Source organism: Homo sapiens, chromosome 13 (assembly GCF_000001405.40).
Source record: "Homo sapiens chromosome 13, GRCh38.p14 Primary Assembly".
NCBI classification, from domain to species: Eukaryota; Metazoa; Chordata; class Mammalia; order Primates; family Hominidae; genus Homo; species Homo sapiens.
The window spans coordinates 55,140,038-55,167,721 of NC_000013.11; the positions used below are offsets into that span (position 1 = coordinate 55,140,038).

Genomic DNA, 27,684 nt, shown 5'->3' on the forward strand with positions numbered 1-27,684 from the left:
GCTGCACCTGTAATCCCTGCTACTGGGGAGGCTGAGACATGAGAATCGCTTGAACCTGGGAGGTGGAGGTTTCAGTGAGCCAAGATCGTGCCACTGCACTCCAGCCTGGGAGACAGAGTGAGAAAGGTCTCAAAAAACAAAATCACTTAGTTGTAGGTATGTGGCTTTATATCTGGGTTTTCTGTTCTGTTCCATTGAACTATTATTGTACCAGTAACATGCTGTTTCTGTCATGGTAGCCTTGTAGTATAATTTGAAGCCAGGTAATGTGATGCCTCTGGCTTTGTTCTTTTTGTGTAGGATTACTTTGGTAACTTGGGCTCTTTTTGGTTTCATATGAACTTTAGAACTATTTTTCTAATTATGGAAAAACTACATTTGGGATTTGATGAGAATTGCATTGAATCTGTAGATTGATTTGGGCAATATGGTCATTTTAACAATATTAATTATTCCAATTCATGAGCCTGAGATGTATTTGCATTTCTTTATATCATCTATATATTTTTTTTTCTTTTTGAGATGGAGTCTCACTCTGTTGCTCAGGCTGGAGTGCAGTGGCATGTTCTGGGCTCACTGCAAGCTCTGCCTCCCGGGTTTACATCATTCTCCTGCCTCAGCCTCCTGAGTAGCTGGGACTACAGGTGCCCACCATCATGTCAGGCTAATATTTTTTTGTATTTTTAGTAGAAACGGAGTTTCACTGTGTTAGCCAGGATGGTCTCGATCTCTTTTTAAAACAGTGTTTTGTTATTCTCTTTGTTAAGATCTTTCATCTCCTTTGTTAAATATATCCCAAGGTGTTTAATTTTTTGTGGCTATTGCAAATGAGATTGCATTCTTCATTTGGCTCTCAGCTTGAATGTTAATATAAAAATGTTACTGATTTTTGTACATTGGCCTTGTATTCTGAAACTTTATTGAAGTAACATTTATCAAGTCTAGAGGTCCATTGGAGGAGACTTTATGATTTTCTAGATGTACAATTATGTCATTAGTGAACAGAGATGATTGGACTTCTTGTTTTCCAATTTGGATGACTTTTTTTTTTTTTTTTTTTTTTTTTTTGCCTGAATGCCCTGGGTAGGACTTCCAGCATTATGTTGAATAGGAGTGGTAAGCCTAGACATCCTTGTCTTGTTCCAGTTCTTAGAGGGAATACTTTAAACATTTTCATTCAGTATGATGTTGGCAGTGGGTTTTTGATAGATGGCTCTTATTATTTTGAGTTATGTTCCTTTGATTCTTAGTGTGTTGAGGGTTTTTACAATGAAGCATTCATGGATACTATTGAATGCTTTTTCTTCATCTATTGAGATGATCATATGGTTTTGGTTTTTAATTCTCTTTACATGGTGAATCACATTTATTGATTTGTGAATGTGGAACTTTTCTTGCATCACTGGAATATAATCCAACTGATTGTGATACATTGTGTTTTTGATGTGCTATTTTGATTCAGTCTGCTAGTATTTTGCTGGAGATTTTTGCATCTATGTTCAACAGGGATAATGGTCTGTAGTTTTCTTTTTTTTTTGTTTTGTCTTTGCCTGATTTTGGCATCAGGTTGACACTGGTTTTCACTGGTTTCATAGAATGAGTTAGGAAGGACTCTCTTTTCTTCAATTTTTTTTGGAATAGTTTTAGTAAGATTGGTACTAGCTCTGCTTTGTAGGTCTGGTAGAATTTGTGGTGATGTCCCAGTATAAACATTTCCGAAAAATTCCTAGGTGATACTGCTGCTGCTGGTTCATGAAGCATACATTGAGAACCATTGCTTTAATCTCTTCAGATAAATCGTTATCTTGAAGTTTTTAATTCTGCTAATGACATTTTTTTGTAATTAATCATTGCCTACAAATTAAAGTTGAAGTTACATGGTGTGATGGTTAATATTAGGTCTCAACTTGATTGAAGGATGCCTAGATGGCTGTTAACATGTTGTTTCTGAGTGTGTTTGTGAAGGTGTTGCCAGAGGGGACTGACATTTGAGTTGGTGGACTGGGAGAGGAAGACCCACCCTCACTGGGAGTGGGCCCCATCCAATCAGCTGCCAGTGTGGCTAGGTCAAAACAGGTGGAAGAAGGCAGGATGAGTTTATTTGCTGGGTCTTCTGACTCACTTTCTTCTTTCTGTGCTAGACACTTACTTCCACTCCTCCTGTCTTTGGACTTCAAACTCTAGGTTCTTCGGCTTTTGAACTCTAGGACTTGCACCAGCAACTTCCCAAGGGCTCTCTGGCCTTCGGCCACAGACTGATGGCCTCACTGTCAATTTCCCTGGTTTTGAGGCCTTCAGATTTGGACTGAGCGACTATCAGTTTTTCTCTTTCCCCAGCTTGCAGATGGCTTATTGTGGGACTTCACCTTTTAATCATGTGAGCCAACTCTTTCTAATAAACTCCCTCTTATATATACATATATCGTATTGGTTCTGTCCCTCTGGAGAACTCTGACTAATACAAATGGTAAAGATTTCAAAACCTTTGTTGATCAGGTTCTGATTCCTCAGAAATACCATATGAAGTTACCACTCTCAAAACATATTTGACCCTCTAAGAGTGACTAATCCTTTAAAAAATTTGTTCTTTCTGTGATATATTACTTCTTCTAAGAGAAACTCTCCAAATATAATCAAAGTAGAGAAGAAAAAAAACTAAAAAAAAAAAAAAAACATAAATCCTTTAAATACCCTGAATTTCAACCTTCCATTTCTATTTATATTTTTGGACATTTCTACCTGGATATCCTGCTAGCTAACAACTCAGATTTAACAAAACAATAAATGTTAAGATATCAGCCACAATGTACTCATCTTTTTTTCTCATAGCACTTAACCCACTGTTTTAATTAATATGTATTAATAAATTTTTGACAATAGTGAATGTCTCAAATTAAATATAAACAGATACTATTTGTATATCATAGGCCTATAGACATTGTGCCAAAATTTAAATCTAGGTCAGGTATGTGGAGAACGAATGTCAGCTTCAGTCTTAAGTATTGTATATTATGGGATGTATTCTAGATGAATAAAATTACTATTTCCCACATTTGGCTAGATACTTCTATGTGTATGGCCATGAATTATTATTTAAAACCTCTAACAGAAGAGAAGTGAGTGACTCTTTTTATTATTATTATTATTATTATTTTTTTTTAATTTGAGATGGAGTCTTACTCTGTCACCCAGGCTGGAGAGCAGAGGTGCAGTCTTGGCCCACTGCAAACTCCGCCCCCTGGGTTCAAGTGATTCTTCTGCCTCAGCCTCCCAAGTAGCTGGGACTACAGGCATGCGCCACCATGCCCAGTTAATTTTGTAGTTTTAGTAGATACGGGGTTTCGCCATATTGGCCAGGCTGGTCTTGAACTCCTGACCTCGTGATCCACCTGCCTCGGCCTCCCAAAGTGATGGGATTACAGGTGTGAGCCTCCGCGCCCGGCCTGGAGACTCTTTTTTTTTTTTTTTTTCTCTGTGTGTGTGTGTGGTGTGTGTGTCTGTATGTGTGTGTGATAGGGTCTTGCTCTATGACCCAGGCTGGAATGCAGTGGTGCAATCTCTGCTCACTGGAGCACTGACCTCCTGGGCTCAAGCGATTCTCTTGCCTCAGCCTTCCAAGTAACTGGGACTACAGACATGCACCACCACACCTGGCCAATTTTGTTCATTTTTTGTAGAGATGCTGTCTCACTGTGTTACCCAGCTGATCTCAAACTCCTGGAGTCAAGCCATCCTCCTGCCTCAGCCCCCACAAAGTGCTGGGATTATAGGAATGAGCCACTACAGCTGGCCTGAATGACTCTTATTGAAAAAAAAAACAATATTTATTATACTTATTAAGATAGTAAGGCAAATTTTATTCAGGACTATTTCAATAGTTATGGGGACAACGTCAACGAGGTTTTGCAGCGCAAGACACAAACTGGGCTCAATTTAATACAGACAAATGCAGGTTGATAGTCCAGAAGCAGGGTGTGGAACAGTGAAGGAAACATTACTGTGATAAAACATCAAGGGTAGGGAGATTCTCGCTAGACTCACTCACAGGATTTTTGCTGAATATAGTCTAGTGTGATACGATATACAGGGTGAGGGATGAGAAACTTCATCTGATATCAAGGCTGGAGGATTTTCACCAGACTGCCCCAGAAGAATTCTTGTGAAAGTGCACTAAATAGGCCAAGGACAGAGCCTAAGGCAGGGGCCTTAAGGGCTTAGAGGAGCGTGACTTTAGTTAGATCAAAGAGAGAGTCTTTGTCATTCTCAGACTTAAACATGATCTCTTTTATAATAAACAATATTTAAGCAGGAGGGTATATTCCTATACAAATGGGGGCAAAATAAACTGGTATAACAGTACATTGTGCTCTTCTCCTAAGCACAATTCCTCTAAAGCATGGGAATTTAGAGTTGCTGAGGGACAATTGGGAGACGTTCTGTCTACCGTCAAAGAACATGTTTACACACAAAGAAAGCTGAACCATGAATACAAATTGCTCTGAACAAGGAAATTACTGATCTTACACTAATTAGTAATACCTTCTCTAGGAAGAAAATCACTCTGGAGGTTTAGCAAATGGTAAATGCCAATGAGCTACTCACAGGCTTGTCTCAAAGAATAGCCCACTTCCAGATACAAACATACTTGCTTTTTTTTTTTTCTTTTTCTTTTCTTCACCAGTCTCTGAACAAGTTACTTGATATTGAAAATGGTTTCATGTCCAGTTCTATTCTCCAGAATGGAAATGATCTTGCTTTTATTTTTTCTATCTCTCAGTTGTCTTTTATTACAAAAGAAAAGAGGGAACATTTTGCATGCTCTTCTACAGAAATCATTCTTTTGAGAGCTTTCTTTATTCTGATTTCTGTTAGTTTTTCCATATCATCCTGTTGGATCTTATAAATGTCAAGAGTGTCAACTACCTGAATGCCTTTGAACTCCCTCAGAACTTCCTTCCTTATAGTTATTCTCTGATTGTTAAGCTAGCTTTCCATTGATCTGTTTTCCTCCCTCCCTCTTTTAAGCTTCTTTCTATGTTAGTCACTACTTCTGTTTACCCACTCAGATACTAACTCCCATTCACTTTAAACCACTTTTTATTAGAAGTCATGCTGACTCTGCCATGCTCTCATGCTGTCTCTTGGCAGCTGTCCTCTCAAAGCTTTAGATTATTGATCATCCTGCAGATGATAAATTAAGCTGAAATTCCTCTCCTTCACTTCTGATGTTATCCATTTTTAAGTTTGAAATCAGCATTTCCAATATGCTTTACTTTATAGAAAGTATTATATGCATTAGTTGATGGATTGTTTATTAGTAACTAATATATTCAAAAAGAACCTATAGAAATTGAGAGCTCCAATGACCTTGAATTTATTTTGTGTATAACTTAAATATGAGGTAGATGAGACTTAGAAACATTGTGATATGAAATAGGTTTAAGTTGTAAGTTAGTAAATAAACTAGAAAAATAGATTCCACTTTATTAGTATGAATAGCTTATTAATATATGTAAATATTAACAGCATTACTTCATAATATAGATCATTAAAACCTTTATATATATACTATATATTGTTTGCTTAAATATATAAATAGAAAAATACTCCATTTCTTGTATTTTGTTATTCTCCATTAGTCCTGTGAGAAAATGGGAACCAGATTTTTACTCTCAAGTGACATCTCAAAGCCAAATATATTAGTAGATTACCAATTAGTTAGATATTGACAAGTTACCAATATTTAAACATGGTCATCTACTGTTTTAATTTTACAATTTTTCTTTTCCTTTCTTCTTTAACCAGAAAAGTCACCAATAACTTCTTTGAAATAGTACAAATATTTTGTTTCATATTTTTTTTTCAGTTTTCCTTCATTGCTTGTGTAGAGGAAAAAGGTTTTCCTCAACCCTATTAGAGTCACTGGCTAGTTCTGCAAATAAAATTGGCAAAGATAGATTAATAGGAGAAAAGTGCATGAATTTATTTAATAGATTTCACATGATACAGGAACTTTCATAAGGAAATGAATATCCCAAGGAACAGGAGATATCTGAGTGTTTTTAGCTAGGTTTAATAAATAAATGAATGGTTGTGAAGTATGATTGGCCAAAGGGGATATAATCTAATGATATCAAGCTGCAAGGAATTTAGGCCTATTTGTTCAAGTTCTTCTCTGTGTCTCTGTGTCTTCAGAGATAAGGACATTCCTTCTTTTTGGGTATGGGTAGGCACCTTTCACACGGCCCTTATGACCTGCTTTAAAGGGAAACTGGAGCTTTTTTTTCTTTATGGCTTGCTTTATAGAAGGCCAGATAGTCCTCTCTAGATTTTAAACCCTGCTTCAGGGAGGAAGGCTGGGAGAAGGTCAGAGAAATTTTTTTTGCTTCTGTTATGTTCTTAATTTATTTCAACCTAAAATACTCAGTATGAGAAGGTGCCATATTTTGGGGTAGTATGTCCTGAGCCCCCCTCACTTGAAAAAAAACTTGATATGAAGCTTCTTGGTTTGAAAAATTAGTTATAGAAATTGACTAGTAGTGAAAGGGTAAATAATCTGAAACACTAAAATGCTGCTCCAGAGGTTCCAGTTGATTTCAAAACCCCAAAGTCCTCATGTTGTAACAGTGGATTCATTTGTCTTTCACCTTAAGATCTAATCTGCTTTCAAAGACCAATATTGATTTTAGAGGAAGAAAATTACACTTACCAATGGTTATATATTTTTTATAATTATATAACTTTGAATTCAGGATTATATTTACTAGAGGAATTTTTATTCGATTCTAAAACAAACTCACTATTAGCTCCCCAGGAGTGAAAAATGCCTCCCTGTGATTATGTTATTTTATTGATTATTTGTCTTTCCATATTTCTAGGCCTGACTTGCTGAATCATTCTAGACCAATTGTTAGGTGCTCAAATCATATCATTTTGCTTCAGCTACCTCTCAGTTTACAGCTCTCTAGTTTGTAGTTATAATATTCCTGTATGAGAAATTCCATACTCTTGCCATAGAGTTCCAAAGAGAAGGAACTCTATGATAGCAGAAGCATGGCTGCTGCGATTGGCCCTGCTTTAAAATAGTGCACAATTCAGGAGTGGACTCTCTACTACACGCTTTTTCAGTTGGAAGAACATTTTCCAAGGTCCAGATCGTAGCATTCTAAATGTTCTCCATCTCTTTGATCTCAAGTGAAATTGAACAATAACAGATGCTATTAAATGTCCCATGAAATTTTGAATTTTATTTAAAATGTTTATTTTTTTTTACTTAATAGATATGATGTGCATTATTCAAGTGATGGATATTCAAAAAGGCCTGACTTTACCATTCACAATCCATGCATGTAATTGGTTAATCGAACAGACCCTTCTTGGCCAAGGTGATCCCTGAGAAACCTGAAAACCTAAATTCCCAGCCATGATTGGAAGGGAGATCAGATACACTTCATTGCACCCCCTCCCTTTTGGAATTTAGGCACAATAGCATTAAGGTTAAAATACACATCATAAGACTGACAAAATACTCTTTGTGGCAATAAGATATCAGATTATAAACAAGACTTAAGGCTATGCAAGGCAAGAGTTAAGATACACCCTATTCACCATAAAATCTTCTTAAATTTTTAAAAATTAACCTGGTGTAATGTGGCTTGCTTTTTAACCTGATTCTGGTATAGCAATCATATGACAGATAGCATATGCCGAAGGAAATTAAAATGTTTTACCCTAAAATCTATTTCTTTGACATATTTTGAAATGGCCCTTCAAAGCTGTCTTTTGTGGGGGAAATTTGCATCTGTAGAAAATTTTCATTAATGCAGCCAGACCCTCCTTTTCTAGGCCTTTCCTACATCTAGGAGAAATAAACTGAGTCTGACACCTTTAAAGTTCTGAAAAGAGACATTTACTATTTTCTCTGAAGACTACCTATGAGGCTTCATCTACATACCAAAGGCCTTGGCTGTCTCTCTCCCCATCCTAATTCAAGCATTCCGGTCTACTAACTTCAAGTCTTTAGGCAATAGCTTAATTTTCTAATCCCATTGTTAACTAAAGAATCCCTAAAACCCACCTATGACTTATAAACCCCCACTTCAAGGTAGCTCACCTTTTTGGGACAAACCAGTGTACACCTTTCTCATATTGATTTATGTCTTTGCTTATAATTGCTGTATCCCTAAAATGTATAAAACGAAACTGACCCCACCAACTTGGGGCCACTTATTCAAGGCTTCTTGTGTTTGTGTTTTCTCTGGGCCATGATTACCCATATTGGCTCAAGATAAATCTCTTTAAAATACTTTAGAGTTTGGGTTTTCCATTAACAAATGGGTTGACATATACAAGTAGAAAAGGTAAAAAGAGGGAGGTCGATGCAGGAGGATCACTTGAGGTCAGGAGTTTGAAACCAGCCTGGCCAACATGGTGAAAACCCATCTCTACTAAAAATACAAAAATTAGCTGAGCATGGTGGCACACACCTGTAATCCCAGCTACTTAGGAGACTGAGGCAGGAGAATGGCTTGAACCTGGGAGGCAGAGGTTGCAGTGAGCCAAGATCTTGCCACTGCACTCCAGGCTGGGCGACAGAGACTCTGTCACAAAAAAAAAAAAAAAGAAAAAAAAAGGCAAAAGGGAAAAAAACGAAACACTTATAGGACAATTGGAAAATGTAAACACTGACTGGGTATTTGTTAAGGTTAAAGGATGATGGTATTGTTATTATCTTTAAGACGAGTTCTTGTTTTTTAGAGATACTTATTGAGATATTTATACATAAAATAACATGCCTGGGATCTGCTTCAAAATAATCAGGGGAGAATATAGAAGTACAAGTGGCCACAAATTGATATTTGTTGAGGAAGGATAATGAATGCTTGGGAATTCACTGTACTCATTTCTCTGCTTTGGTATGTTGAAAACGTCAATTTTCCCAGTCTTTTAAATTCCTGGGAAAAATTATAAATCAATCAATCAATAAAAGCAAAATAAACATTGAGAAAGAAAAGTGTTTATTTTTTAAATGTATTTTTTTAAATAACCAAGCAGGCTTTGAATAGAATAAACACACACATACACACAAACCACACATACACATACTAAATTTTTAGTCTGATATTTAAGTGTAGGGGATCAACTGAGTCAAATGTTCTAAAAGTAAGCTGTGTTTATGTAACCACATTTGCAGTTATTGTATTATTAGAACATAAATATTACAATTGTAAATGTAAAGTTTCCCCTTTGGGATAGCTAAACAACTACAGAATCATGCGTAATAAACTTGAAACTTGCAAATTATAATTTGATTACAAAATTATATTTGGCATTATTATGAACTTTAAAAAAATTGAAAAGAAACAAGCTATATTTTATTTTCTGTTTTGTTCTTTCTTATATATGAATTAATTTGTTCAAAGATGAGAAATAAGAACTAAAGTACCATTATTTATATTTAAATTGGTGAATATTCCTCAAAGTGTAGTCCCTGGACTAGCATCATCAGTGTCATAGAGGAATCATGCAAATTTTCTGGTCCTAACCCAAGACCTATTGGATTAAAAACTGGTGCTAGGACCCAACATTGTTTTACCAAGCCCAACAGGTGATTCTGATGCAGCACAATTTAAGAGCCACTGGCTTAAATTGAAAGAAAAAAACAAAAACAAAAACAACACAAAAACAGCTCTTAATTAGAAAGTAAGCTATTCTTAAATAGTAAAAACCAATGAAAACTTTATTTAAAATGCAAACAAAGGTTTACAGAATAAAATTAAAATAAAAGCAAACATTAAATAATAGATGAGTAGGTCTTTATTGTTCATAAATTTTTTTTTAGAAATTCTAGGGCCGGGCGCGGTGGCTCACGCCTGTAATCCCAGCACTTTGGGAGGCCGAGGCAGGTGGATCATGAGGTCAGGAGATCGAGACCATCCTGGCTAACAAGGTGAAACCCCGTCTCTACTAAAAATACAAAAAATTAGCCGGGCGCGGTGGCGGGCGCCTGTAGTCCCAGCTACTCGGGAGGCTGAGGCAGGAGAATGGTGTGAACCCGGGAAGCGGAGCTTGCAGTGAGCCGAGATTGCGCCACTGCAGTCCGCAGTCCGGCCTGGGCGACAGAGCGAGACTCCGTCTCAAAAAAAAAAAAAAAAAAAAAAAAAAAATTCTAAAATGTGTTTGCTTTTCATAATCTTAGAAAGAATTAGAAATTCTAATGAAATTTATTATATGAATTTGAATATTGCATATGATACTCTATGCTTGTTGAATATGATGACTTCATTCATAGGGTCAGGTTATACATAATTGTCAATGGCCAGTTTGCTACTCACATGTAAAACGATATAATTTTAAAACCATAGAAGTGAATGTTTAGTAATTAGCTTCTTAATGAAGAATTTGGAAGTGAGCCTATTTTTTTGGCTTTGTTAACAATGAGTTTATTAGCCCTGCTCTAATGAAACTCACATTTTTCTCTCTCTGCTTACCGAATGAGCTGTTTAAAGGCAAAGATCAAGAGCTTTGCTTAGTAAACAAAAATTAACAAACTCACAGCAGGTGTTGTCAGCCTGATATTCGAGTTTCATAGGGAAGTAATTTAAACACATCAATGAAAGCAAGACTGTAGAAACTATTAGTTTAAATTTATTATCTTTTATGGCTATTTCTTAAGAAATTCATAGTCTTTCGAGGGTAATTTTAATAATTTGCCATCTATTTTGCCCATAAATCTATTTTTTCTAATTTAGGGCTAATATTGTTTTACTAGGTGCTAAGGAACCCATATAAAGGATAGATGTATTTAATTCAATGCTTTCTTGTAATAAATTGTTAAGAGCAGTTATTAGAGTTGACCATCAAACTGATAAAAACCTCTATGAGCAGTGAAGAAAATTGCAGTGTGGGGTACACTAGTATAAGAGTTTAAGTTTTTATTTAGCAAACATTTATTGACCACTTTTTATATGCTAGAGCAGTGGTTCTCAAAGTGTAGTTCCAATGCAGGCAACATTACCATTATCTGGAAACTTATTAGACATGATAACCCAAAGGTATGCAACCCTAGATCTATTGAATTGTAAAGTCCGAGTCTGGGAGCAACAATCTGCACTTGTTAAAATTATGTCCACATGTTTCTAAAACCCATTAACATTATGAAACCACTATCCCAGTGAAGCAGTATAGTATTTACTGACTATATAAATATGGAAAGATACAAAAGAAGGAAGGGAATGAGAGAAAAAAGAGATAGAGGGAGAATAAAAGATGTATGGATGGATAAAGCACAATTTCTACTTTAAATTTGTTCACAGTCTAGGAGAGAAGAGAGCTATATCAGTAATAAATGTAAGTGAATAGGCTTCAAGAAAGATATGTGCTGGGTTATTTGACAACATTATAGGACTGGTTAATACCTAAGAGTTAGTGGAGAAAGCTATACCTGAGAAGTTATGAAGGGGATTGGTAGATAAGTTTCAGATAAGAGTCTGTCTGTATTATACTTCACCTCTTTCCTTCTCTGCCTCATGTTTAGATTATGTTTCCATGTTTGGTTTAGTAAATCAATTATTATTACTGATTATTTATACTGAAAACAGTGTTTTTCATAATTAGATTAGTAATAAATATAATTAAAGGCAATTGGGTGGCTATTTTACATTGCAAAGCATTTATTTATTCATCACTTCAATTTAGTTTTAAAAGATAGTTCTATGCATTAAAGAGATTAGTTATAATTTTGCTTTGTCAAATAAGGAACTGAAGCATGGAACGATTGACTTGTTACCTCTGGGTGTTGAAGCTACTTAAGGGGAGAGATGAGACTCAATATGTTATCTCACCATGATCCTTAGGGTCTTCCCTTCATCCACATTGTTTTTCTCTGCACGACTTAAAATAAGCACAAATTAACTCAAATTTTGGCCACCTTGCCAAGCACCATGGCTCATGCCTGTAATCCTAGCACTTTGGAAAGCCAATGTGGGTAGATCTCTTGAGACCAGGAGTTCGAGACCAGCCTGGGCAATGAGGTGAAACCCCATCTCTACAAAAAATGCAAAAATTAGCTGGGCATGGTTGTGTGCACCTACAGTCCCGGCCACTCTGAAGGCTGAGGTGGGAGAAGCGCTTGAGCCCAGGAGGTCAAAGCTGCAGTGAGCTGCGATGGCACCACTGCACTCCAACCTCAGCAACAGAGTGAGACCCTGTCTCAAAAAAAAAAAAAAAATACAACCAAAAAACAACAATAACAACAAAAACTGGCCATCAATGAGGAGTTTATGTTCTATTTGTCTCAAAAAATGGCATGTATAGTAAAATATGTCATGCAAAAACATTTTCAAAGTATATATGAAACAAAAATAAAATAATTTATAATTAAATAGTTATGAAGGTACAGAACAACTCACAAAGGCCAATATTTCTCTGTATGAAGCAGTCAACAAAAACATATATGGGCTCTGCAGCCTGATTGTTAAATAGTTAAATCTTAGGTTGACTATGTCTTTCATGGTGCTTAACCATGCAGACTGATAGTTAAATCCTGAATTTTGTTATTATTAAGTTTTTAATGTTATATCTTTAAAACGAAACTCAGTCAAGTTAAAAAAAAAGAAGTGAACAATATCTACAAAAGCCTAACAAATATATTTCCTAAATGATGCACCATCAGAAAGCTATCGTTTTTTACTTAAAGTAGATAGAAAGTTTATTGTTTACCTTCTTAGTATACTCTGAATAGTTATTAAATTAATTATGTTACAGATATTTCTATACATCCTAATAAAATTTGCAATAATATTGATGAATAAATTGTTTTCTTCTATTTTCAGTATATAACATTAACTGTTTATTATTTTAGATTTTTGAAATTAAATGGACAGAATTTTCATTTGTAAATGAATTTTGTCAAAATTAAAGTTTGTTTCAACAGCAAATTACATATAGAAAATTGAAATAAATTTTGAAAACTGAATGATTTTCTCTAATTTTATAAACGTTAAGATGATGTTTATTCAGCATTAACTCAGCATTTCACTATATCCCATGTTGGTTTTATAAATATTGAATAATTATACAGGTTCTATTTAAATAATCAGTATAGGACTACACATTATTTGATCAACCACATGCTCAAAGAAGATGTTAAAACAATTATTTGCAAGTGTATGAATCAAAAATGCATTTATTTTGCATTATCAAAATATCTGTTGATTGCTGTAGTTTTAAGTAATTGTTTTCCAGAATTTAAGATAATTTTAATAATGAAGTTTTCACATTCAGAATAAAGTTAGAAGTTAACTATCAGTAAGAATTTTTAAATCATAACAGTGTCCTGCAATCAGTGGAAGCATGTTACAGATAAGTGCATGTATATGTGTACAGGAATGGTTATCCCTTCTATTTCTAGTTCAAAATTGATAAAATCTTGAGAATTTTCTATAAGTTACTGAAGCCTAGCAAATTAACTTTAGCCATTACTTTTGTGATAGTGACATCTGAAATAGGCAACGAAAAGTTTTCCAGTTTTCCACCAGGAACTTGAAAACGTTGATAATCTTGCAATTAAAAAACATTTAAATGCATATCGTATTGTTTTTTACTTGAAGAATCCATCTGGATTCTCTCTTTTCTAAGTCCATTTGTTTAAGTCTTCTTTTCAAAAGGTCAAAGTCCATGTATTAATTTTATATTATGCTCTATTACAAGTAAACAGCAAAACAAAACAAAAAATAGAAAATATTTTAGTTTCCTTAGTAAGCTTAATATTATTATTTCCTTAGTTTAGGAGGTTGAATGGTATCCCCCCAACATACGTCAACCAGTAATCTTCCCATGTAGACTTATTTGCAATAAGTTTATTTGCAGGTATAATTAGGGTTAGGATCTTTCGAAGAGATCATCTTAAAATAGGGTGTGCCCTGAATACAATGACAAGTGTTTTTGTAAGAGACAGAAAAGAAGACACATACACACAAGACAGAAGGCCACATGAAGATGGGGGAAGAGATTAGAGTCATATAGTTACAAGCTAAGGAATGCCAAGGATTGCCAGAAGGTACCAAACTCTTAAAAATAAGCATGAAGCAGATTCTCCCCCTGAGCCTCCAGAAGGAATCAGCCCTGCCACCTTGATTTCAGATTTCTGCTTTCTGGAACTGTGAGAGAATACATTTCTGTTTTTTAAAGCCACCAAGTTTGTGGTGATTTGTTACAGCAGCCCTAGGAAATAAATACATTGATTATAGATGCTAAGTCAATACTTAAAAAATTATCTGTCCATCATTCATTGCCCACCAAGTACATTTCTGTAGATGTAAATTGAAGTTACATCACTTGTACATTAGAAAAGTTTATTATAATCTCTGTTACAAAATTTTGCTGGGGATTCTTAATGTCTCCACCTTTAGAATCAACTCAATTTTATTGAATCAGACAGAATTCAATTATAAACAAGAAAAACAAACAAACACAGACCAATTTAGGTATTTTAAGAAAGATATCTCTAAGAGAATTAGATGTTCACAAAATTGTTGGGAGGGTAGAGGCAGTGTTTTCTTGTCTGAATCCCCTTGAATAATTTTTCCATGTAATTAAACAATGATTTGCTGTGGGTACTTATGCCCTAAGGCAACCTTTTGAGTTTTGGTTACAGTAAAAACTTCACCACTATAACACCTGTCTCTCAATATTCAGAAAGCTGTAGAATGAAGAACCACAGCTTTGGTTTAAGTAACACAAGTCAAATTGCTTACTAGCAGCCATAGCCAAAAACCTTACTTCTGCTTTTTAAATCAGTTGTGACTGCATCTAATTGGTAAAACCAAAGTCAAGTCCAGAATTCTAGCTACAAAGAATTTTGTGAAATGTATATTTTAGCTTCTCAACTCCCTACATGTACAATTGCCTTACATTTGGTTTCATGCTTTGCTGTTGACATGTTGGAATTCTTAAGAATTGAGTAAAAAGCCCAATATTCTTATTTTGCATTGAGTCCCCCAAATTATGGAGCTGGTACTATTAATAATCTTTACAGTTCTGACATGTTACCAAGTTCTAATATTGCAAAGATATCTGTTAGGGTATTTCTTTTATTACTTGTCCCTCTAAATCTCAATTTCCTGGATTCTATTGTTATATTGTTTCTTGATGCTGACTGTTGGTGGAATCACAGTTTTCTGCATCTTCTCAAATTACTGGACTTGGAAGTCTGCCAGTATCCACTTATTATCTTTGTCTGGAGTTCCATAATACTCCTACTATCTGAATACTTCTATCCTTCACTCACAGTTACACTATCCTAATGCTGAAATGTTCCGCTGCTTCAGATTTTATTTGCTCTCTCATACCCAATTCTACTTGAAACTAATATCCTGTTGATATGGTTTGGATCTGTGTCCCCAACCAAGTATCATGTTCAATTGTAATCCCCAATGTTGGATGTGGAGCTGGTGGGAGGTGATTGAATCAAGGAGGTGCATCCTTCATGAATGGTTTAGAACCATCCCTTTGGTGCTGTTTTTGTGATATAATTCTCAAAATATCTGGTTAAAAGTGTATGGAACCTCCCCACCTTTGTCTTTCTCCCACCATGTAAGACACCTCAGTCTCCCTTGGCCTTCTGTCATAATTGTAAGTTTCCTGAGGCCTCCCCAGAAGCTGAGCAGTTACCAGAATCATGCTTTCTGTACAGCTGCAGAACCAGCAGCCAATTAAACCTCTTTTCTTTGTAAATTACCCAGTCTCAGGTATTTCTTTATAACAGTATGGCAACGGACTAATACAGAAAATTGATACTGAGATGTGGGGCATTGCTCTAAAGATACTTGAAAATGTGGAAGCCACTTTGGAACTGGGTAATGGACAAAGGTTGGAAGAGTTTGGAGGGCTCAAAAGAAATCAGAAATATGAGAAAAAATTTAGAACTTCCTAGAGACTTGTTGAATAGTTGTGACCCAAATGCTGATAGTGATATGGACAGGGAAGGCAAGGCTGATTAAGTCTTAGACAGAGATGAGGAACTTATTGGAAATTGTGGCAAAGTTCACTTTTGTTATGCTTTAGCTTAGAACCTTAGTACATTTTGTCCCTGCCCTAGGGAATTTTGAATTTCAGAGAGCTGATTTATGGTATCTGGCAGAAGAAAATTTTAAGCAGCAAAGCATTGAAAATGTGACCTGGGTGCTTCTAACAACACAGGCTTATGTGCGTGAGCAAAGAAAGGACCAGATATTGGAACTAATATTTAAAAGGGATGCAGAGCATAAATGTTTGGAAACACTGCAATCTGGCCAGGTGGTAGAAAGAAAAGCTCATTTTTGGGGAGGAATTCAAGCAGGTTGCAGAAATTTGCATAACTGAAAGGAAGGCAAATGCTGATAACCAAGATGATGGGACAAAGGTCTTGAAGGTATTTTAGAGTCCTTCATGGTAGCCCCTCCCATCACAGGCCCATAGGCCTAGGGGGTCCGAATAGTTTCCTGAGACAAGACCAGGCCTCTGCTGCCCTGCTTAGCCTCAGGGCACTGATTCTTGCATCCCAGCCACTCCAGTTCCAACTGTGGCTAAAAGGGGCTAATGTACAGCTTGGGCTGATGCTTCAGAGAGTGCAAGCCATAAGCCTTGGAGACTTCCATGTGGTGTTAAGCCTGCGCTTGCACACAGTACAAGATTTGAGGCTTGGGAGCTTCCACCTAGATTTCAGAGGATGTATGGAAAAGCCTAGATATCCAGGAATAAGCCTACTGCATTATTGGAGCCCTCACAGAGAAACTATACTAGGCCAGTGTGGAGGAGAAATGTGGGGTTGGAGCCCTCACACAGAGTCCCCACTGGGATACTGCTGTGAGAAGAGGACCACTGTCCTCTGGTGGAGCTGCAAGAAAAGGGCCACTGTCCTCCAGACCCTAGAATGTAGATACACTAGCAGCTTGCACCTTGCATCTGTACAAACTACAGGCACTAAAAAGGAAGCCTTGAGAGCAGCCATGAGGGCTGAATCTTGCAAAGCTATGGAGACGGACCTGCCCATGGCTTTGAGAGCTCACTCTTCGCACCAGTGTGCCCTGGATGTAGACATAGAGTCAAGGTAAATTATTTTGGAGCATTAAGATGTAATGACTGCCCTGCTGGGCTTTGGACTTGCATGAGGTCTGGAGCCCCTTTCTTTTGGCTGATTTCCCCCTTTTTGTATGGCAGTATTTACCCATTGCCTATATCCACATTGTATCTTGCAAGTAAACTACTTGTTTTTGATTTTACAGGTTCATAGGTGGAAGGGACTATCCTTTTCTCAGATAAGACTTTGGACTTTGGAGTTTTGAGTTAAGGCTGGAATGACTTAAGACATTGCGGGACTGTTGGGAAGGCATGACTTTATTTTGCAATGTGTGAAGGACATAAAATTTGGGAGGGGTCAGAGGTGAAATGATGTGGTTTGGATCTATGTCCCCATCCAATTGTCATATTCGATTGTAATCCCCAGTGTTGGAGGTAAGGCCTGGTGGGAGGTGATTAGATTCATCATGGGCATGCATCCTTCATGAGTAACTTAGAACCATCCCTTTGGTGTTGTTTTTGTGATAGAGTTCTCATGAGATCTGGTTGTTTAAAAGTGTTTGGCATCTCCCCACTTCCTCCTGCTGCCATCATGTGAAACACCTTGCTCTCCCTTTGCCTTCCATCATGACTGTTTCCTGAGGCCTTCCTAGGAGCCAAGCAGATGCCAGAATCATGCATTCTGTATAGCCTATGGAACCACCTATTTTCTGTATAAATTACCCAGTCACAGGTATTTATTTATAGCAGCATGAGAATGGGCTAATAGACCTGCCTTAGAATATAGACAGATACATGGTACATTGCATCACTAGTATGACTTTTCTACCACTGACCAGGGAAGACAGTCATGCATTTAAGCATTACAACACAGCTTTCCTCAAGTTTATTTTATATCTTAAATAAGGATACTGTGTGTGTTATAGCTACATGACAGGAGGCAGTTTGTAATTTAGTTTAAAGCTGACCAATTAGGAAATGTGGAGACCTTACTTCACATCTCAGTTATGCAGTTAACTACACATGAGACCTCTGCATATCTCCTTCTTCCTCTTTCTCAGCCTATAAGTTAGAGAGACCATACAAATGGCCTGTTAGTTCCCCTCCAACACAGCCTTTTTTTTTTTTTTACAACTATGCCAACAAGCATAGTTCAGTAGGTCATGTTATAAAGAAAAAAATACACAATTTTTCTCCTAATAGTGCACTGTGGATGCAAGGCAATGTGACTTGCAGTCAAATGTGGCATGCTGTCTCCATGCTGTATGCAGTCATGCTAAATAAAAGTTAATTTTAACTGAAAGACAAACTGTGTTTGTTCTGCCTGACAGGAAACTAGTGCTATCTTCTCAGTATTCACACAAGCAAACTGATATTAAAATGTGCTACTGTGCTGGGGTTTGACTACTCAATTCCTGCAGAAAGGGGAGATCCAAGTTGAGAGAAACATGATTAAAATAAGAAGAGGAACAAATAGTAGCATGAGAGTGGTTGAAGATGAAATTGACAAAATGTTTTTTAGACAGTTTACCCCAAGCCACTGCATCTTTTGGGTGTTAAGAAAGGCTATAAAACGTGTTGCTATAACAACACTAATTAATTATGGTGGAATTTCATGCACTGTAGCTTAGAGCCAATTTACGATGCTCTTATTATATGTCACACAAAATGTGGCAAAAATGATTACATTGAAGTGTTTTGAAATATGAGATGATATGCAGGACCACTTTTATTATTTTATTATATTATTGTAATAGAGACACTTTTAACCTATGCCTCGGTTATGTCCATAATATCATTTTGATTATAAACATATGCCAACGCCATCAGAGTTAATTGAGCTTAGAGTATACAGACACCATGGATATTCTTTGAAGTTAAAGGTAAATTGAGATAAAGGGAAAGATTTGTGGAGCCCAGGTTACCACTAGTACTAACATAAAGGCCTGAAAAAAGCCATGGCTCTCAATGTGCTTGTTGCAATTAGTCCCAGAGATTCCACAACGGCTTCAGTAACCATCTAACAGGCAGATGAAATCCAATGTATGCAAGAAAGAATCTGAGATATATATATATATATATAGAATATGTTCAAAACAATAAATAAAATTCGAGTACCCAGATGTCTAAGTAGTACCTGGACATTATAAAATGTCATTGTCAATGTTGTAGTTACTGAATTTATATCTTCTTTTCCCTCCCACAAATGACACATTTTCTGTAGTTTTATGCAATAATTGCTACTACAAAAAACAACTGTATTAAAATCCAAATAATTTATTTCTCTTGAGGATTTATTTCTATAACATACCTCAAGCAATTACAAATTCTGAAGAAAGGTTAAAATCAACTCTCAGCTTAATATCTGATTTAAAATCTTTAGCTAATTCATTTGGAGAGATGCCTATATGTTCCTAAGGTGGAGATAGCTGTTAATATTAGATCACAGACCACTAAGTAACTTACTAGGTGAGGAGAAATTTGAACTCTCAGCAGTGATTAAAATAATAAAAACACAGCAACAATCAACTGTCTCATAATGTAGATTGAAGAAAAGCGGACATTTAGAAGACAAGGTGGACACTTCCCATTTAGCAGTGTCGAACCTGATTCTCATGTTCCTGCATTGGGCTGCCAGCTGTGTAAGGGGCTGCCAAAGACTGTGATTCCCCTGCAGACATAACAACAGCTGTAATGCCACCTGTGTAAGGAGATGTGCTTGAGAGACGAGAGAATTACATTGACCTCAGGCTGGTTTTGTCTTTCTCTAATTTCTGCACCACTGTCAGATTTGAGAAAGTAAATCACCATCTTCTGATATTGTTTCGTCAGACCCCCACCACACAGTGCTCTCTGTAGGGCACCGGGTAGAAATCATAAGCATATAAATATAAAATCCATCAGAAAAAAGGACCTGAGCTCTCTGGTCCTTTTAGATAAATCTAAATTAGATGGAGGATGAAGGATTGATTCAATGTAGAGTTGTGATAACAAGGAGTAAAAACGACTAAGTGTCTAATGGTGGAGTTCATCATCATCTAACCTTAGGGAATCTGTGGTTATTAGTCAAGAGTTCCCAGGAGAGGTCTGTTTTCAGCCAAAAAGGAAAGAACTGCAAGTGATTTATTTTCTTGATGTGAAATAGAATGTTGGTGCAGTACTATGAGGAATTAGAAAAGAATGTTCAAAAAATTACATACATATAAAATGTATATATATGTACATTTATGTTTATAGTGTCTATGTATATTAAAAAAGTTAAAATAAACTAATGTTAATCTAATCAGAATAAAAGAGTGAAGGAGAAAGTATAATAATGAAGTAATGGATTAAGGCAATATTGTGATAAGTATTTTGAAGATCAGCTATGAACTAATAGAACAAAGGAAAATGAAATGAAAATAAAAAGAATTGTCTTACACTATGTGGATCATCATGCAGTCATTGTTACAGACAAATTCTCACGGATTTCAGTTGGGGCTTTGGACAAAACAAGAAGACATGTGCTTTGGTATATTACCTAGAACTACAATGTTTATTTTAGCTGCATATTCATTAGTAATACATTTTGTAAAATTAAAGAGAAGATATTACTTGACAAATGTAAAAAAAAAGTCTTACCTATATTTTTAAGAAGGTTAGCAACTTTAAAAAAATACAAAAGGATTATGTTTCAGAATTATTTAAATTAATCACATTAATATGTACCAGTGACTTTTATCAATTAACCAGAAATCTGGGTCTATCAGCAGAATTTATCCATCCATCTTTGCTGTGAAACTGGTAACGAATTTGTTTAAATTATTGGCCTTTTAATTTACCTCATTTCGTCTCCTGTCTGAGAAGCCTGTTTATTTTCAGGCAGCTGCATATGTTGGCATGATTGATGAGATCTGCTACAGTCAAGCAAGCAGCCCTGGGTGACCAGTTTACCCTTCCCTGCGAGGGTTCCAGCTGCCAGTTGCCCCCATTCTGTGACAGCTTCTCCTTCTCCTCACCTTGTCATCCAGCCAAGATTGTACACTGTAGGAGTACAGGTGAGCATCTGCCTCCATAATCATTGCCAACAGCCCTCCATTATCAACTGCCAGGGGTGCTTCAAAGCAATGTGGAGTTCTTTCTCTTGACACAGGGACCAAGTGTATTTATGCCTGAAACAAACTCTGCCTTTGCTGACTAGGGAAACTCACATGTAAAATGTTTTTTTTTAATTGCATCACAAATCACTACAGTATTATAAAACAGGTCGTAGCATCCTCCAGCCCTCACCACCATGACCCCCATCAGGTATTGTACATTAGACTATGTAAAGACCTTTCACTTAAAAATAGGGATTTTCTCCCTGGTTATTATATTCTCATATAAAAGAAAAAATAAAAAGCTCTGTCAAACATTTTCACTCCAGCGTCGTGTAAATTAAATCTACCTATAAAGGTGAATTATCTTACAACATCTGTCCTTCTGTTTGTACAGCCACACCATGTGTGGATCAGAAATAAACAAGACAGATAATTTGTGTATAGCAACATTAAAGTGAATTCTACTGTTTTGGTTTTTAACTGCATGATGTTAAAATTTTTATTGTTAAATGATCTATGGTTGTAATTTAATATTTACTGAGAGTCCACAGTAATCTAGGAACTATATGGACTATAAATAAGATGTAACTCCTGCTTTTAAAATGAACTAAATTTCTATTGTAATATATATTATGAATTATATTTATGCATTTACTTTGTATAGAGAATATGATGCATAATTTTGACAGTGATATGTGTCTGTCAGAATAACAATGCAATTGCCTCAAAATAGTCAAAAGAGACATTGTTATACAATGCTTATTAAGATCAAAGGCTTTTTCAGAGAAATATTATATTTTAAATCTGGGCTGCTACATACCAGCTGCAAGATCTTGGACAAGTTATTTAACTTCACAGAATGTTAAGTTTCCTTATCTTCAAATGGAGATAATAAAATTTACCTTGTCTGGTAGTTCTGAGAATTGAGTATGAAAATATATGTAAACATATGTAAAGCTCTTAGTGCAATGCTTGACACATGGATCTTATTATTACTAAAGCAGTAAATGAAGAACATAAGGATTGCTTATTGATAGCTTCTGATACAGCCATGATCCCCACACCAAGAAACTTGTATCAGTTGAAGTTCATTAATATACCTATATATAAAAATAGACATGGTATATAAATATAGTGGTGGAAGAGGTTTTTTTTATTGAATTATTGTCCCATATAGAGATATTTAATCTGAATTAACAAGTAAGAGAAACTATTCTGAATTGTCTCCTCTATAAAGACAGGGTGTTCAAGGTATATTAAGTCTTCTAATTATGTGCTAACTTGCACTTTTGTAAGCTTGACACATAGTTGGTCTCTTTAACTTTTGGAGTCTATTTCTCACATGTAAAATGATCCACTTAATAATTTACAGTGTACACCTGCCTTTCCCTAGCTTCATATCTCCTGTCTTTAAGCAATAATGGAATGTCTTTTTGTGGAATTGTTCAAAAATTTAGCTAATGACAATACTTCTCATTGTACATAACAATTATGAACAATTAATATATCTAATTCTCAGTTTCTTTATAAATAGCATAGTAATGAGTATCAATGAAATAATTATGGAAAAGAGTATTGTGCTTCATGTATTTTTTGTTTATAATTAATAGTATTCTTGTTATTATATTTTTTTATATTTAAGTTTAACTAAAATTAGGAAATTGAATTTTATGGTCACATCTAACTCAATTTAGACTACTAATGCTATTGATTCCTAGATCACGAATGGAGGCTTGAGGTGATTTTGCAAAAAAAAGTTTTGCATACTCTGCAGCGTATGTTTCCCTTATTCTAAGCCTCAGAATATGGAGAGAGACTTGTGTTTGTACATTTGGTCTGAAATCCTCACCAGGGGCTACAGTTCCCCCTAATTAATCCACATGTACATGTAGCTCTCCAGGAAATGCCCTTCAGGATGTGCATGTGATCACAGCTGACAGCAAAAAAGCAAAATATGCTCAGTGTAGGAAAATTCTTTTTTCTTTTCTTTTCTTTTCTCTTTTCTTTACTCTTTCTTTCTTTCTTTCTTTCCTTCCTTCCTTCCTTCCTTCCTTCCTTCCTTCCTTCCTTCCTTCCTTCTTTCTTTCTTTCTCTTTCTTTCTTTCTTTCTTTCTTTCTTTCTTTCTTTCTTTCTTTCTTTCTTTCTTTCTTTCTTTCTCTCTCTCTCTCTTTTCTTTCTTTCTTTGTTTCTTTCCTCTGTCTTTTTGTCTTGGAAAGAACACAAATGACTATCATGACTATGATTATTAGTCACATTGGATTAGAAGTAATCTATCAACAATATGATTTACTAAAATAGCATTCTGACCACAAACAATATTGACTTTAATTATATTTTAGTTGTTATTCATGCTCTAATGTTGGCAGAAAAAGGAAGACAGAAACAAAAGAAATATGGATGAACACAAAACAGCTAGGTTACTTTGCATCATAACCTCAAGGTGGAGAGGTCTTTGGGTACTCACAGCAGGGAAGAGGCCAGTATCTTGCAGCATAACAAATGGATGTCACACATGAATGAGAAGGCAGAAGGGCAGTATTCAGACTAAATTTGCTGGACATTTTATCCTAGTAGGTGAGCACTGAAGCAGTGCATATGCCAGGGCTCTTGGGTTAATATAGAAGGATATGGATAATATTTTGTAAGTAAAAAATGACTGAGAAGGAGTGAAACATTTGATGCACTAAAGCATGAAATGGAAGATGGATTAAAAGGATATATTAAAAATGTTCATGTATATTCAACTGGCCTAAGAGAAAAGTATTCTTTATTTCATATTCTCCTATTTTTGGTAAACTATGACCTAAAAATCATTTCTATGTTTCACACACACACTGGAATATATCTATTTTCCCATGGAAATTGAGATAAAAATTAGCATCAAATGATATATAACATAGTAATATTATGATTAGTATCTATTGCCTTGCACGCTGTGGTCAAACTCATAACAATTCATATGAATGTAGAATATATAATATATATGTATTGTAATTTGTGTAATATGATGAGTGCTGCCAGACAAATTAATATATTTAAAACATTAAACATAGTAACTGCTTTGATGGCTCCTTTCTGAGAAAGCCAGTATCTGTTATGCTAAGTTTTTGTTATCCTGAATTATTTGGGAGGTCATACAACTTTCATTCCTGGAAATTCAAATGTGTCCTACAGCCGTGAAACAGTCCCAAAAATGTAGGCTTAAGGTAATACATTTGTAAAATATTGAATTGCCTTTTTTCATGTAATAATAAATGTGGGATCTCTTGCTCCTGCTCTTGCTATGTGACATGCCTGATCTAGCTTTCCCTTTTACCATGAGTAAAAGCTTCATGAGGCCTCCCCAGAATCTGAGTAGATACCAGTATCATGCTTGTTCAGCCTGCAGAACCAACTCTTAGGTATATTCAGCCAATATGGTCAACTAGACATAGCCAGCAAGAACATCTCCCATTGAGACTGGGACATTGGGAAGACCAACACACTACTGGCAGATCTTTGAAAGGAGGGCATTGAGAGTGGGCAGGGGAGGATACAAATACTAGGCTGAAGAGGGACGAAGCTGGGAACCCTGGACAGGGCTGCCAAGCACTGGGACTTGTTCTTGGTCCCCAGAAACTCTTGGGGAAGGGGTAAATTGAACAGGTAAAGAATGGACCACTCTTGCCACAGGCCTCTTGAATCCTGGTAGCAAAAGACCCCAAGAACCTCACAGACACTTAAGCTGGCAGGCAGAGCTGCTTAGAGGGGAGGCAAGGGCAGAACTCCAGCCTGTGTGGAGCCTAGAGGTTTTGGCAGAGGAATGGCTACAGTGGAGCATGGCCAGGGTCGCCCAACCCCCAAGGCTTGCCATCTTTCTCTTAAAGACTTTAGCCTGGGAGACTGTCAGACCTGCACAGAGTAGGAGCTTGTGTGCTTTTCAGGGAACTTAATCACAGCTCCTTCACCAGCAGACTACAACTGTCTGTCAGATAGCTCCAGTAGTCCAGCCTCTGATGACATACACCAGCCCACCTGCAGCCTCCCCCCATTGCAGACTCCCTCTGCCACTTTTCCAGCATGCACTCACCCATGATTGCACTTCACCTATTTACTGGTGTGCAGGTGTGGGAGGACTTTGTCTCCTCTTTCCTGCTGCCATTTCATGTGTACATGTATCCTACCACCACATTATTGCCAGCATGAGTGCACTCCACTGCCCTGCCACTGCTGATGTGGTGGGCACACCACCATGCAGCTGCTGCTGGTGTGAACACACACTCAAATGCCACCTGCTGCACTCCACCAGTGCCATGCCCATAGTGATGTGTGGGTAACCTGCCATACTCCTGCCACTGCCAGTGCAAGTGCAAACACAAACACCAGCTGCTCCACCCCTACTGGTGCCCTGCCCCTGCTGCGCCACAACAGCTGCTAGCATGTGGAAGCAAGAATGTATCTCACTGCCACTGCCCCAACACAGTGCTTTGGCTGGCACCCCTCATCAGATTGTTGTGGCCAGAAGACTAGGAATATCTTGCCTTTCTAGCACAAGAGATTACTAACTTTGAGGGGCCAGAGAACAAAGCTGGTGGCCTGGTACCAGCCCTCCAGAATTAGAACACACAGTCCAGAAGTGCTGAGCTGACCCTTGGACCCCTAAAATCCTCCAGAAACAGAACCAGTTGGCTGAACCCACCTTATACCACAATTGAACTCCCAGGTATATCAAAGAAGATAAAAGAAAAAAAATGTTATCCAAAGGACAGCAACATCCTTTGAGAATAAAGGAATTTCAGCCCACACAGATGAGAAAGAATCATTGCAAGAGCCCTGGAAACTCAAAATGACAGCATCTTCTTACCTCCAAATGATTTTATTAATTCCCTAGCAATGGTTCTTAACCAGATGAAACGGCTGAAATGACAGAAATAGAATTCAGAATATCGATAGAAATAAAAATCAAGAATCAGGATATTTTGGGAGGCCGAGGCAGGTGGATCGTGAGGTCAAGAGATCAAGACCATCCTGACTAACATGGTGAAACCCCATCCCTACTAAAAATACAAAAATTAGCTGAGCATGGTGGCATGCTCCTGTAGTCCCAGCTACTTAGGAGGCTGAGGCAGAAGAATCACTTGAACCCGGGAGGCAGAGGTTGCAGTGAGCTGAGATTGTGCCACTGCACTAAAGCCTGGTGATAGAGTGAGACTCCATCTAAAGAAAGAAAAAAGAAAAAGAATCCGGAGAAAGTCTAACCTAATCCATGGAATCTGAGAGATACAATAAAGTTACACAGGAGCTGAAAGATATACCGGCCATTTTATGAAAAGAGCAAGCTCACCTTGTAGAGCTAAAAATACACAACAAGAATTTCATAATAAAATTGCAATCATTAACAGTGGAATAGATCAAGCTGAAAAAAGACTCTTAGAGCCTGAAGACCACTTCTCCAGGTTAACTCAGTCAGAAAAAATAAAGAATAAAGAAGAATGAATAAAGCCTCCAAGAAATATGAGATTATGTAAAGAACCAAATGAATGACTCATTGATATTCCTGAATGAGAGAGACAGAAAGCAAGCAACTTGGAAAAAATATTCTGATATATTGTCCATGAAAATTTTCCAGACTTATCTAGAGAGGCCAACATTCAAATACAAGAAATGCAGAGAAAGCCTGAGAGATACAGTATAACATGAGCATTGCCAAGACACATAGTCATCAGATTTTCCAAGGTCAAAATGCAATAAAAAATATGAAAGACACTGAGACAGAGGGGACAGGTCACCTACAAAAGGAACCCGATCAAGCTAACAGTGAACTTTTCTACAAAAAAATACTACAGACCAGAAGAAATTGGGGACCTATATTCAGTATCCTCGAAGGAAAGAAATAATAAGAATTTCAGATCCAGCCAAACTAAACTTTGTAATCAAAGGATAAATAAGATGCTTTTCAGACAAGCAAATGCTAAAGGAATTCATTACCACTAGACCTGGCTTACAAGAGATACTTAAGGGGCTGCTAAATATGAAAACAAAAACCATTACCAGTCACAACAAAAACACACTACAGTACATAGACCACTGATATTATAAAACGACCACACAATTAAGCCTGCTTAGTAACCAGCTAAAAACATGATGAGGGGTCCAAATCCACACATATCTATATTAATGCTCAATGTAATGGGGCTAAATGCCCCAATTAAAAGGCACAGAGTAGCAAAATAGATAAAGAAGCAAGACCCAATGGAATGCTGTCTTCAAGAGACCCACCTCAAATGTAAAGACACCCATAGGCTCAAAGTAAAGGGATGAAGAAAAATCTACCAAGGAAATGGAAAATGGAGAAAAAGCATGAGTTGGTATTCTAATTTCAGGCAAAACAGACTTTAAACCAACAATGACTAAAAAAGAGAAAGAAGGGCATTACATAATGTTAAAAGGATCAATTAAAAAAGAAAACCTAATGATCTTAAATATATATGTATCCAATAGAGGAGCACCCAGATTCATGGAAAAAGTTCTTAGAGATCAATGAAGAATCTTAGATGAATAATAATA

General features: G+C 36.6%; 1 long non-coding RNA gene across 1 annotated transcript in view; it reads left to right on the plus strand.

The window, feature by feature from the left end:
* LINC02335 (long intergenic non-protein coding RNA 2335) overlaps nt 1-27,684 on the plus strand; it is a 128,930-nt gene that overhangs the window by 86,231 nt on the left and 15,015 nt on the right. Inside the window, exon 4 of the long non-coding RNA NR_186625.1 lies at nt 20,920-21,095. This is a non-coding gene — a long non-coding RNA (long intergenic non-protein coding RNA 2335). The remainder of the gene's footprint in view (nt 1-20,919; nt 21,096-27,684) is intronic.